Source organism: Homo sapiens, chromosome 9, assembly GCF_000001405.40.
Source record: "Homo sapiens chromosome 9, GRCh38.p14 Primary Assembly".
Lineage (NCBI taxonomy): Eukaryota > Metazoa > Chordata > Mammalia > Primates > Hominidae > Homo > Homo sapiens.
Genome location: NC_000009.12, coordinates 89,101,112 through 89,113,846, shown reverse-complemented (window position 1 = coordinate 89,113,846; position 12,735 = coordinate 89,101,112). Strand labels below are relative to the sequence as shown.

The 12,735-nt window shown below is 40.8% G+C and overlaps 1 protein-coding gene across 1 annotated transcript in view; it reads left to right on the top strand.

Moving 5' to 3' along the window:
- The window catches only part of SHC3 (SHC adaptor protein 3), a 173,048-nt gene that overhangs the window by 64,972 nt on the left and 95,341 nt on the right, over nt 1-12,735 (top strand). The window contains exon 2 of the mRNA NM_016848.6: nt 1,221-1,291. Within this exon, the coding sequence (NP_058544.3) occupies nt 1,221-1,291 (71 nt within the window). The remainder of the gene's footprint in view (nt 1-1,220; nt 1,292-12,735) is intronic.

The window sequence follows — 12,735 nt, the reverse complement described above, 5'->3', positions numbered from 1 at the left end:
AACTGTGATGGTAGTGGTGCTATTCAAATATCTGCCTTGGTAGTGGTATTCTCTTAATGCTGCCACAGTGGTTGAGGTATTCAAGTAATTCCATGATGATGTTTTTGTGGTAGTCATATAACTCTAATGGTGTTAGGTATGGTAATCCCCCGAGTCTGCAAAGTTTGTTGTGGTCTTCACATATCTTAGTGACAATAGTGATATTGGTGGTGGTGCAATGGTGGGAGTAATAATCACATTTATGGGTGTATAGACAGGCTCAGATAAATTTAAAGTTATAAGAAGATATGACAAAGCCAGCCTCCAATTCACATTTTCTAAATAATTCAAATGCAGTTTTTTCTTTTTTTCTTTTTTGAGATGGAGTCTCGCTCTGTCGCCCAGGCTGTAGTGCAGTGGCATGATCTCGGTTCACCAAATGCAGTTTTTTCTGTACCATACCATGAGATCTCCTTCTGCTAAATCTAAGGCATTTATCTAAAACATCTGTATCTTCAAACTCCCCAAAGGCTTTGGAACATAACTATTGGATCTAGCTCTTTATCCATAACTTTAGCTATGTCCATATACTTACACATATACATTTTCATGTGTGAAACTGATCAAAATTTAGCTATGCATTTAGATGTATAAATCTGAGCTTCTAAAAATTTATGATCATGCAGAAGATCTGGTAAACCAAAGTAAATCACCTTTGAGGGTAATCTATAGTTCATAGAACCCAAAATATATTTATCAGATAATGACATTTAATGTTGATGAAAATGTTGGTCATATCATGTTTTCATTCTTTCTCTAAAAATTGTAAACCTGTAGAAGCCTCGTAAAAGACTAGAAATGCAATGTTGAGGTCTGGGTGGTGGTTTCATGGCAAATATATGTTTAAACAATCATTGAATTAAACATTTAAGATCCCTGGATTTCACAGTATATAAGTTATACTTCCATAAAAACTTTAAAAAGTGTACATCCAAATAAGATGAAAATACTAACAGGTTTTAGAAAAATCCAGTGTAGTGCCAATCTAACCACTCATGATATTTTCTTGTGGCTGTGAGTTATTGCTTTTATAGAAACAAAACAAAGCCTCACCCTAGAATTTAAAGTTAAAATGTGATTTAAGAAATGTGTATGGCTCCCAAAAATGCCCTTGTATAGTTAGGAGTTGTCTCTTTATCTCAAATCTCAGGGCTCACGATTTACATTTTTTCCCCTTGCAGTACTTGGGGTGCATTGAAGTTCTGCGCTCAATGAGGTCTCTTGACTTCAGTACAAGAACACAAATTACCAGGTAAGCCCTCTTGAAAATGGACTCCTGTGATTTTACTTCTGAAGGAAGGATCTCAGAGATTAACAGCTGACACATTTTTAGAAGAAAAGACCGGCCCTTGGAGGGTTAGTGGCTGGTGACAGTGAGTCAGTACTGTCCTCATCTCAAGACATGTGCTTGTTAGTCCATGTTTGTGATGTATATCTCTCAACCAAAGTACCTTGAAGGACACTCTGCCCTTGCACGCTCTTTTTATAATTTAGCTGCAGACATATGGAGCAGCTGAGTATTTATGTTTGTTTCTTTAATGTGTGAAACTCTAACACAAGATTGGTATTTTAAAATGTACTGAACCATGTTCTTTTTAAAAAAGAAAATCAAGATGTCAAGAGAGACTTTCCAACAGTATACACAGAGAGTAAGATGCATAGAATTGGAAGCAGAAACAGCCATGGGAGTAGGTCATTCAGCAAGCAGACCAATTCTTTAAGGTGTCTGTGACTTTGAACAGGTTTTGTATATTCTCCACCACCAAGTAGAATCAAAACTTCTTCAGGGGCAGTATTTAAGCACTGGTTTTTTAAAAATAAAATCTTATACTCTAATATAGCTCCCAGTAGAGCTTACACCTTTAGAAAAATGCCAGTTTCAAGCCAGCTTGAAGAGGAGAATTGGAAAGCTAGGACAGAGTCTGTGAAACTGCTACATTTCTGTGGTCAAGGAGCTTAGGTTCATTTGGTACTTATGCAGTAGCTTAATTTAAATAGTCACCTCAGAAAAATGCCTCATATTTACTTGATTCAAATCATTCTATTGTATATGTTTGGATTAGCAAACCAAGTCTAAAGATTGAGCTTTAGAAAGCAACTGGTTTAGTCATTAGCTGCTAAGAAACATACACACCTCAATTCTGTTATAGGTACCATAATAATACCTCTTCCTCCTCACTGAAGAAATTCATGGTCAAAGAGTTAATGTTTTGTTTTTTTTTTTTCTCTTTCCTAAGTGCCTTGAGACATGTAAGTTGTGAATGTACCAACATCAGTAATCTACCTGAAGGAAGGAATCCACCTCCACATATTTGTAGAAAATGGTTCATGAACATTTCAAAGACAATGGAATGATGTTTTGAATAGACAGCACTGTGGTTAAAAGAAAAGCTTGAGTGTTTCTTAGTCAGTCATTTATTCACCTTACCCATGAAAAGGTATGCCAGTGGCATCACGGTGGGCAGAACACTGTGCCAGTGACTGGAGGAATATGGGAACTGTGTGAAATTGGTCATGTTCTCCTGTGTGGTGATAGTTTTTAAAGGAATGACAGTCAATTGGGAGAGAACTGTCAACCATTCCTACTGGGTTTCCTTTCTAGATGCTAGGATTTCTGAGGTGATTTCATGCCATTTTAGTTCTCCTGATGTAATTATTAAGCATCTACTGCTGATTGTGCACACACAACACACTGGACAACGTGACTCTCCGGCTTTGCTAGGCCTCTCAGTGTTGGAGAAAGGTGTATACATAAATGATTGAGGGGCATTTGAGGGGCACAGAACAAGTCCTGCTCCTTGGGGTAGTGGTGGGGTGGGGGAACAAGTGAATAATTACAGTTTGCTCTTTGATGAGGATACAACTCCTGGGACTCTCTGTGGTAGAACCCAAATGGACAGAAGTAATAATAACATTGTAGAAGAAAGCAGTTGGAACAGACACTGATGGGTTTGGAGGTTTTGATGTCTTTCTTCAATCCCATTCCATTTAGATTTTTGGGAAGGTGAAGCAGCATAATGGGACAAGTGGAGCATTATTCTTGTACTTAAGAAATTTGGTGTTGAATTCTAATTGTGCCAGAATTGCCTTGGGTTTTATTAGACCTCTTGAAAGCTAAATTTGCTCGTCTCCATGATGCTTTCTGTCTCTTGCATCATTTTCAGTAGGTGACATGTTTCTTACTTTAGCTAATAGCTGGAGGTCACTCAAAGGAAACAATTTGACAAATCAACTTCAGAATGAAGCACTTTGCATCCAGTTGAAGAATACACAGCAATGTCTTGCAGATGTAGCACACTGTGGAGCTTTTAAGGTCTCCATGGTAACTAAGTGTTCAACATACCTGTGATTAAACTCCACTGCCATGGTTTACTTTATATACTAAAGAAATTCTTGGAAGTTTATAGGGAAATCTAATGTCCTAATTAAGTTATATTATACAGGCACCAGGAAAACTGGTTTCCAAAGGCACTCCAGTCACACCTTTTATTAAAAAATATTTTTATAAGCAGATAATTAATCCCTAATTATCTGTTTAATTTAAAATTTTGCCCCTACGGCTGGGCTTCACTCCCAGCATTTCACTTTGTATACACAAATGTGAGGACTCCACTTCAGAATTGAGGTGATTTGAAAACTCCCCAGGAATATGTATAAAATCTTCTTAGTTTGAAAGCCAAATCAAACTTGTGAAAGGAAAACATCTTTCTTTTGGAAAGGTGTTTCCTTTTTGTTCTTTTTCAGTGTATTGGCTGGGTTCTGAGGAGAAATTTATCACTCATGTCAGTGTATGTGTATATTGCAGTTCAGAGTGTTGCTTGCTTACCTTAATAAAACAATGAGGCATAGGTATAAATGAAGGAACATGCAGGTCAGCTGTCAGTGCATGAGTGGACTGAATGCTATGAAATTGCATACTTTTCTGTTGGATGTTTCATGGGAGAGACTTTGCTTAGAAGTTAGCTGAGTAATCATGTGATCTTGGTATGAGTGTTAAGCATTCAGCATGGCTTTGAGTCTGAACAAAAGAGCAAACAAGCCCTGGTGAGATGAAGAAGGGAGCAGGAGCCTGGAGATGCCTGAAGATGTTGGTGAGAATCACAACCTGGAGTGCATGGGGGTGGTCTCCTCACCAACCCTTGGCACAGTGGGTTTCATCTTCACCTTGAAGGAGAGCAGGCCAGACAAGATCTCAGCACAGCTTCGCAACTGCGTCCACCCTCTCTTCTCTTCTAAGAGTTCACTTGGAAGGCTTGGCAAAACTCAGCTCTCAGGTCACTTCTGGCTTCCAACATTCTATAAATGCTCTCAGAAAACAAAAGTCCAAGGTAAAAACTTTCACCACACAATCCTTTCACTCCATCATGTCTCTGAGCACCCTTATCCATGTACATTCCGTCCCAACTCTATGTATGTATTCTGTGTGCATGAGCCTGGGTGTGCACCCTCGCTGGACTTCCTGAAAGGGAGGGGCCAACCAGACTGCATGCTGGGCACCATGACCGGAGGAGGGACCCCCTTCACCCATGCATCCTCTGCGACCCCTCTACCTCTCTCTTCAGACATTTCTGGGTTGCATGGACCTTTAATCACAAGTTCATTTGGGGATGGAAACAATGCATATTGTGCAGTATTAAGACAGGCTGCATTTACTAACAAGATATTTATGTTGTTTGTAGAGGATTTCCTATCCCCAGGACCTGGCCCAGGCTGAGAGAAGCTGTGTGGAGTGGAAGATGGACATTGAGGAAGAAGGGCAGGTAAGGTCAGGCCTCCTTGGAACCTCAGAGAATGTCAGAAGTCGAGGAATGCTTTGAAGGTTCTATTACAACTGCCCAGTTAAATGATGTGTATTCCCAGATGCAGGGCAGTGGGATCTGAATATTTTTTGTTCAGATTTTTTGGTAATAATTTCTTCTTTGAGAGTGGTTAGCACGAACTCTACTAAGTGGACATGAATTGGCTGCAGCTGTTCTATGCTAATGAAGGGCATTCTGTTAGTGTTAGGGCGACTTTCTCATTTTTGCAAACACTGGGATGTAACTCTGAAGAGTCTCATATTTGGAAATCCATTGTATAAACCATGCTAAGATGTTTTTACAACTGGTGCAGGGTAAAGAAATCAATGTAGACTTTTATTCATGGGCTTCCTTAGATCTGATAAGAAATCTTATCCGTAAATTAGATTTCAATTAATCTTAAATTAGACTTCAGTCATGCATCAGGGATAGGTGTGTATGTGTGTATGTGTGTGTGTGTGTGTGTGTATGTATATGCATTTTTTTTGAGACAGTGTTTCACTCCTGTCGTCTAGCCTGGAATGCAATGGTGCAATCTTGGTTCACTGCAACCTCTGCCTCCCAGGCTCAAGTGATCCTCCCACCTCAGCCTCCTGAGTAGCTGGGACCACAGGTGCATGCCACCATGTCCAGCTAATTTTTGTATTTTTTTTTTTTTGGTAGAGGTGGGGTTTTGCCATGTTGACCAGGCTGCTCTCTAACTCCTGGGCTCAAGTGATCCATTCACCTCAGCCTCCCAAAGTGCTGGGATTACAGGCATGAGCCACCGTGTCTGGCCAGGGATAGTTCTGAGAGATGCGTCATTAGACAATTTTGTCATTGTGTGAACATCGTAGAGTGCACTTAGGCTAGATGCTCTCACCTACTGCACACCTAGGCTATATAGCATAGCCTATTGCTCCTAGGCTACAAACCTGCACTGCATGTGTGACGTACCAAATTCTGTAGGCAATTGGAACACAATGGTAAGTATTTGTGTATCTGTCATATGCGAGCATAGAAAAGGTAGAGTGAAAATACACTATTATACTCATGGGACCACCTTGATGTAGTTGGCTCATCATTGACTGAAATGTTTATGTGGTACATGTACTTGATTATGATATTTCAGAATTCCTTTTTCACTGCAAAATAAATACCTTTAATGTTGATTTAAATTAAACATGCCAGGGAAAGGGAAAAGAGTGAATCTATTTTTGTAGATTCTCTGAGGCTGGTTGAATTTCGGAATTAGAACAGAGAGCAGTCATGTGAATTACCTACCACCCCACCCCACCCCCAACCCTGATCCCTGTGCATTTGGGTGGTGCAGAATGGCTAGCTTTTGGATTTTAGCCTTACAGGCTCTTACTAAATGTGCTTATTCTAAACATGTTTCATGGCCAAGCCTCTCTCAGCCTGCACCTGCAGAGGGGTGAGGCCTGGCAGGAAGGGGTTGATGCTGTCCTGGTTTAGAGTCCTTTTTGAAAACACCAGCTTGCCTGTGTGCATGTGCATCCCGCCTTTGGAATAAAGTAGGCTGGATGCCTCCACTTCACTTCTGCACTATTACTCTGATTTTAACACCAGCTAGAATAATACTGTACCCTCGTGTTGGCTTCATGGGCATTTGTGTGCAAAAATGCATTAGACATAGGGGTGCAGGGATTATGAGTCCTCAGGGACCACAACCCAGGAAAGGAGCCCAGAGTCACAGGGCAAGGGGCCACATACTTACTGCAGTCATGGGATACTACCCCAGAAACATGGAAGAGGGTCCTTGCGGCCTGGGAGACTTCCCAGAGGAGGGAGGGAGCACTTAAGCCAGAGTGAATTTCTTCCTCAACAATATGGCAGGTGTACGACTTGGGCCGAGTTCTCCAGCCAGCCCATCAGGGTGACTGGAATGTAAGTGGTCACTCCTGACAGTCCCTTAGCTGGTCCAACTCTGTGCAGCAGTTCTAATGCTTGCCAAAGAGTAGGGACCTGAGTGAGGCTCAGCGAAGGACCATGGAGACAGTCTGAACCCATTAGGCTGGAGCCTTCCTGCCGTTAGAACACCAGCAGAGCCCTGAAACAGGGATTGGGGCTCTGCTTCCTCCAGGCCTCATTCTGCTCTATTTTCGTGTTCAGTCCCTCAACCATAATGCATCTAGTAGGTTTATTTTTCATTTGTGAGGTTAAACAGACATCACTGTGGAAATGTCTGATCCAGCTGTGGTGAAGGGAAGGGACCCACAAGCCGTTTTCTTGGTTAGACCGAAGGTATCTTCAGTTGCATTCCCCCAGCAGCCCCTGAGACTTGGTGCCAGGAGGCTATTTGGGAGGATACCTAGGGAGCAGTGGCAGGGGTGGGCACAGCCAGTAGGAAGGGAGAACCACCCCCAGGACCATCTGGAGCAGGGTCCCGCTGTGGGCGCTGGGCCCTTTGGGGAAGTGCGTAGGAACTGGGGAAGCTAGGATGTCTGCTCACCGACTGCCTCCCCTCACTACTGAAGGACAGTCCCCTGCTCCTCCAGGCTGCCCTGTGTGGGCTGAGAAAGCTGGAGAAGCCACCACTGAAGGGGCGGAGACTAGATGCAGGCACTCCCAGGAGCATGGCAGCATTTACGGGACTGTCCATGTGGCTCAGAGTGTCAGGGCCTGCCAGGCGACAGCGCTGGCTGGAGCCACACAGTGTCAGAGCACTTGGCTCCCATGTCTGACTCTCTAAATTAGATTTTTTGGTTGAGGCACCTCTGAACAGCTGCCTGGTCCAGTCTTTGGACAGCAAACTCCTGACCCCTTGGAGCAGAGCCTGTTGATGTAGGGTGAGCTTCCTACTCTTAGGGGATGAGGAAAGGGTTCCTGGGTACCAGCCCACACTAATACTCAGCAGAGACACTCATTCCACCAATGAGATTGACCTCTCTAGGGCTGGGGTCCTCATCCAGAGAACATGCATGACACCCCTGCTTCGAGGCTTGTTGAGAGACATAGAAATGAGACCTGAAAGTGCTGTGGCTGCACCTGGCACATAGTGGATGTTCAATAAATCTGCATGGGGTTATTACCATGAATATCCTTTTGCTACTCACTCCTGATAAAATTCTGTGTATAATAATATCAGTTGCTGATTGGTATTGTTATTATTAATATCTACCAATTCATTCCAGGGTGTTTTTTCTAACTGAAGGGAAAGATTGGTTTGATGCAACAAACTGAAGTTATTGAAAATATGTGGTGATGTGGCATTAATTTTCACTTGAGCTGATATTGTCTAGTATTTCATTCTGTGTTTCTGCTTTACTAATTCTAATGATGATGATGAGGATGACACTAGGATAGAATACTTACCCTGCTCCAGACACTGCACTAAGGTGTCATTCATACATTCAACAAATATTTATCAAACACATACCATGTCTAGTCACTGTTTAGATATTGAAGATAAAACACTAAGTAAGTGCTTACCTTCTGTTATGGGGAGAGGGAAATACACAAACATATACATAAGTAGGATATCAAGGTGAACCATATGAACATGCCATTTTTATAGATGAAATGATCCAGTATCAGCAATTTTATATAGTTCAGCACGGTAATTTCAGATAGCGATGAGGGTGTGTGTGGTCTTTTCTCAGTAACCTTGGGAGGCAGATTGTGTGTATTTTGGGGATGAGGATACAGGATCCGAAAGTTTATGCAAATTGTCTGAGACCAGATAGCTAGGAAAGGGCAAAGTCAAGATTTGAGCTAGAACAGTCTGAACCCAGAGACTACAGTCAGGAGTAGCAGTTATACTGCTGCTTGAGTAAGGGGGCTCACATCCTTCAGAAAGGCAGGAGGACTGGCAAACCCCACAAGTACAGAGGGGCATCATTACAAGACCATCAAGATGGATTTGCTGACCACTGTGGTGTGATGGTCTTGAGCAGGGTACAAAGAAAATGAGTGTAAGGTTAGAGTCTGTGAGAGGCACTTGCAGTCGGCTGGGATGCAGTGGGCAAGTGCATGTAAGAAGGGTCAGCTGTAGGGGCAGCATTGCCTCTGTGAAGACTGCACTGCCTGCATTCACCTGACTGTGCTCATCCCGGGCATGGCGACGTCCCTCCTTTCTGTGCTTCAGAAACTCTTAGTTGAATTTCCCCAAATAGTAAAAGGATATGTAACAACATAGAAATCTTCTTTAAAAATTGAATATGAATAATTTATAGAAAACATAAGGCCCTCACTACCTCAAATAGCAAATGAAGGGTGGGATGGGGTGGGGAAAGGTTGGATTGGAGGGTGAGAGGATAGATAAACTGAGGAAGGATGGGCTTGGTGTGGGGATGAAATGGGCGACCCCCAAGGTGGTCCTGCTACCTAGCTCAAGGTGGTGACAGCAAAGTACAGAAGATCTCTGTCATCACAGCAGTGGGAAAGCACTTCTCACCTAATGTGGGCTCCGCTGCAGCACAAATTCCTTTAAGAATCCATCAGGTTGGTTGCAGAGGGGCCACAGAGCTGGTCTGTATTCTGTGGGCACTCTGACTTGGCACAAGGCCCTCAAAGATTTGCTACACATACTTAAATCATTTCATTTTTTAGAATAGTGGTTCTTGGACTGGAGCATACATACATCAAAATCACCTGCAGAGTTAGTTACAACACAGATTGCTGAGCCGACCCCACAGAGTTTTGTGATTCAGTAAGTCAGAGGTGGGGTGTGAGAATGTGAACTTCCAAAAAGTTTTCAGGGGTTGCTCATGCTGCCCATCCAGGTACCCCAGTTTGAGAACCAGTATTTAAGAGTTCTATTTTTAACTTTGGAACCATTTGCAGCTACCATCTATGAAACCACAGCTTTGAAAACGAGTCTGTTTATTTTTTTTTTCAATTGATCCCACTCATCCAGAAATTTTAAAAATGGAGAACATAGATGACTTGGTGACTGAGAATGGTTTAAATAGAATCCATAAAATGAATCCGTGGTGTTCATTCCCCTACTCTCCTTGAGAACCATCTGGCATGGTGCATTTTTATAATCCTCATGCCAGAAGCACATTTGTGTCAAAATGTACCTCTCTGATTGCTCCTTTTCTGTCTTTTCCTCTGAGTTCACTTATCACCCAAACATATCATTCCATAGGGATCCCTTTGCTCCTGACAGAGGCAGCCTCTGGTAGTAGGTTTAGAGTCTGACTATCTGGGTTTTTGTCTAGGATCCACAGTTTTCCAGCAATGTGACCTTGTGCACATGACTTAAGTCCTCTGTTTCTCAGTTCCCCCATGTTTAAAATGGGATTCACAATGGCATCTCCATCATAGGGCTGAGAATTAATTGAGCTAATATCTGAAAAGCATTTAACATGCTGCCTAGGAAATGCAAGAGCTCAAACATGTTGACAAATACTGATATTCTCATTTTTATTTTATGCTCTCCGTATTGATAATCTCATTGCTTCAAACAACACTTCCAGGTATATAAGTCACAAATCTCTATCTCCACATCCGGATTTTCTCTTAAGGTCCAGGCCTGGGCTATAGTAGCCTAGCCTCCTGGACATGTCTTTTTGGAGGTAGCCAAGCAGCTGCTGAGTCCTGAGTCCTGGCTCTGCAACATTACTTCTCATAACTTCACCCATTCTCCCCTCCATTACTGGGGTCAGGCTCGGCTCCCATCTCTGAATTCTTCTTGTAACTGCAATCCACGTGGTCTCCCAAACTCAAAAGCTTGGAGTTGGTTTCATCTCATCTTTCTCCCTGTTCAATTACGAATACCTGTTGATTCTCCCTCAGAAGCTCCCTTGTCATTTCTCTTTTTCCCGTCTCTCTCTCTCCTTCAGTTTCCTTTGTTCTTGTGAATAGGTTAACGTGCCTCAAACATATGACTCCCTATTAAACATCGTTGCTTATCCATTCTTTGCTGAACAAATGAAAACTTTCTTAGCATTCATCGTTAAGTTCCGCTTGCCTGGCTGCAGCACACCTTTCCAAACATTCCTCCCAACTTCCATTCAGCATATCCTCCACACTGAATTCCTGCTGTCCATTCTCCTGGTCCACAGTCCATGCCCCACCATCACCCTCCAGGCTAAATATTGAGCCACAGTTGGATTTACTTTTGTCCTGAGCTACAAGGCCACTATGTTCGTATTCATCTGGAGACTTTGATTTCATTGCACATCATATTGAACTTTTAAAGACACAGACCATTTTTCATCTACTTCTAAAGACAGTAAGTCCTCACTTAACATCATCAATGGGTTTTTGGAAACTGCAACTTTAAGTGAAATGGCATATAACAAAACCAATGTTTTTTTCTCACCAATGGTATAATGAAATGACTTTGCTGTACATTGTTTAGCTTAAAGCCAAAGTTTCCAAGAACCTATACATGACATTAAGTGGGGACATACTGTATCATCTGCTGTTAAACACTTCATTATTTTACAACTACAAAAAAAACCTGCCAATTAAAATATGACACAATGCTTTCATATCACTTAGAATCAGTTCATATATATTGAAAACGCTATTTTGGGTTATTACAGACACAGACATATCATTATAACACTTGCATATCTCTTAAAAGGAAAATACAAGCAATATAAAAAAGGTATTCCTAAAATTTTCTTCAAATTCAGAGTCTGAATATACAGACTCATTCCTTGATCCAGAGTCATTACCATCTGTTTTTTTCATAAGTTTTATTGTCCATTAAGTCATTTGAAGAGCATTGGAAATGAATAAATTTGGAATCTGAAAAAAGATAGAGGAAATATTGAAAACCAAAGGTGGTTTTTAAAAAGATCAATGCCATGATAAACTGCTAGTTAGAGGGATCAAAAAGAGAGAGAGAAGTTCAAATGACCAATATCAGGAACAAAGGAGAGGCCATCATCCTTTTAGATGCTGTAGACACTGAGAGAATAATAAGGGGCATTAGGTTAAACTTGATGCTAATGAATTTAACAACTTAGATGAAATGAACAAATTCTTTGAAAGATACAACTACTAATGTTTGCTAAAGAAAAAAAGAGATAATCTGAATAGGCCTGTATCTATTAAATAAATTAAATGATTGTAAAAATATTTTTAGAGAGAAAACTCCAGGGTCAGGACCACTAGTGAATGCTACCAAACATTTAAGGAAAAAATAACATCAATTCTCCACAATCTTTTCCAGAATATAGGAGGGAACACTTTCCAGTTTATTTTAGAGGCAGTATTATCCTGATACCCAAACCAGACAAAGGCATTACAAGAAAAGAAAATTTATGAACCTAGACACAAACCCTAACAACATATAAACAAATTGGATCAAGCGATATGTCAAAAAGAAAATAATGCATTATACCCTGTAGGGGTTTTCCAAGGATTGTAAGGTTGAGTCAACATTAAAAAAAATCAGTGTAATTCCCCATATTGGCAAATTAAAAAAAATATATATATATATATGAAAATCTCAACAGATACAGAAAAGCCTTTGACAAAATTCAACATACATTCATTATAAAAACTGTCAACACACTAGGAATAGAAGGAAAGTTCCTCAATCTGATAACAGGGCATCCACTAAAAATGTACAGTCAATATCATAGTTAATGGTAAAAACCGAATACTTTTAAGATCAAGAACAAGGCAAGTCAATGCAATAAGGCAAGAAAAAAATAAAAGCCATTCAAATTAGACAAGAAGTAAAAGTATCTTTTTTTTCATATAACATGGACATCTACATAGAAAATCCTGACAAATCTACATGAAAGCTATTAGAATAAGTGAGTTTAGCAAGGTTGTAGGATACAATGTCAAAATACAAATATCAATTGCATTTCTATGTACTAACAAAGGTCAATTGGAAAATAAAATTAAAAACTAACCATTTACAATAGCATAAAAACATAAAATATTTTAGTGTTACATTTAACAAAATATGTGTAAGATTTATATG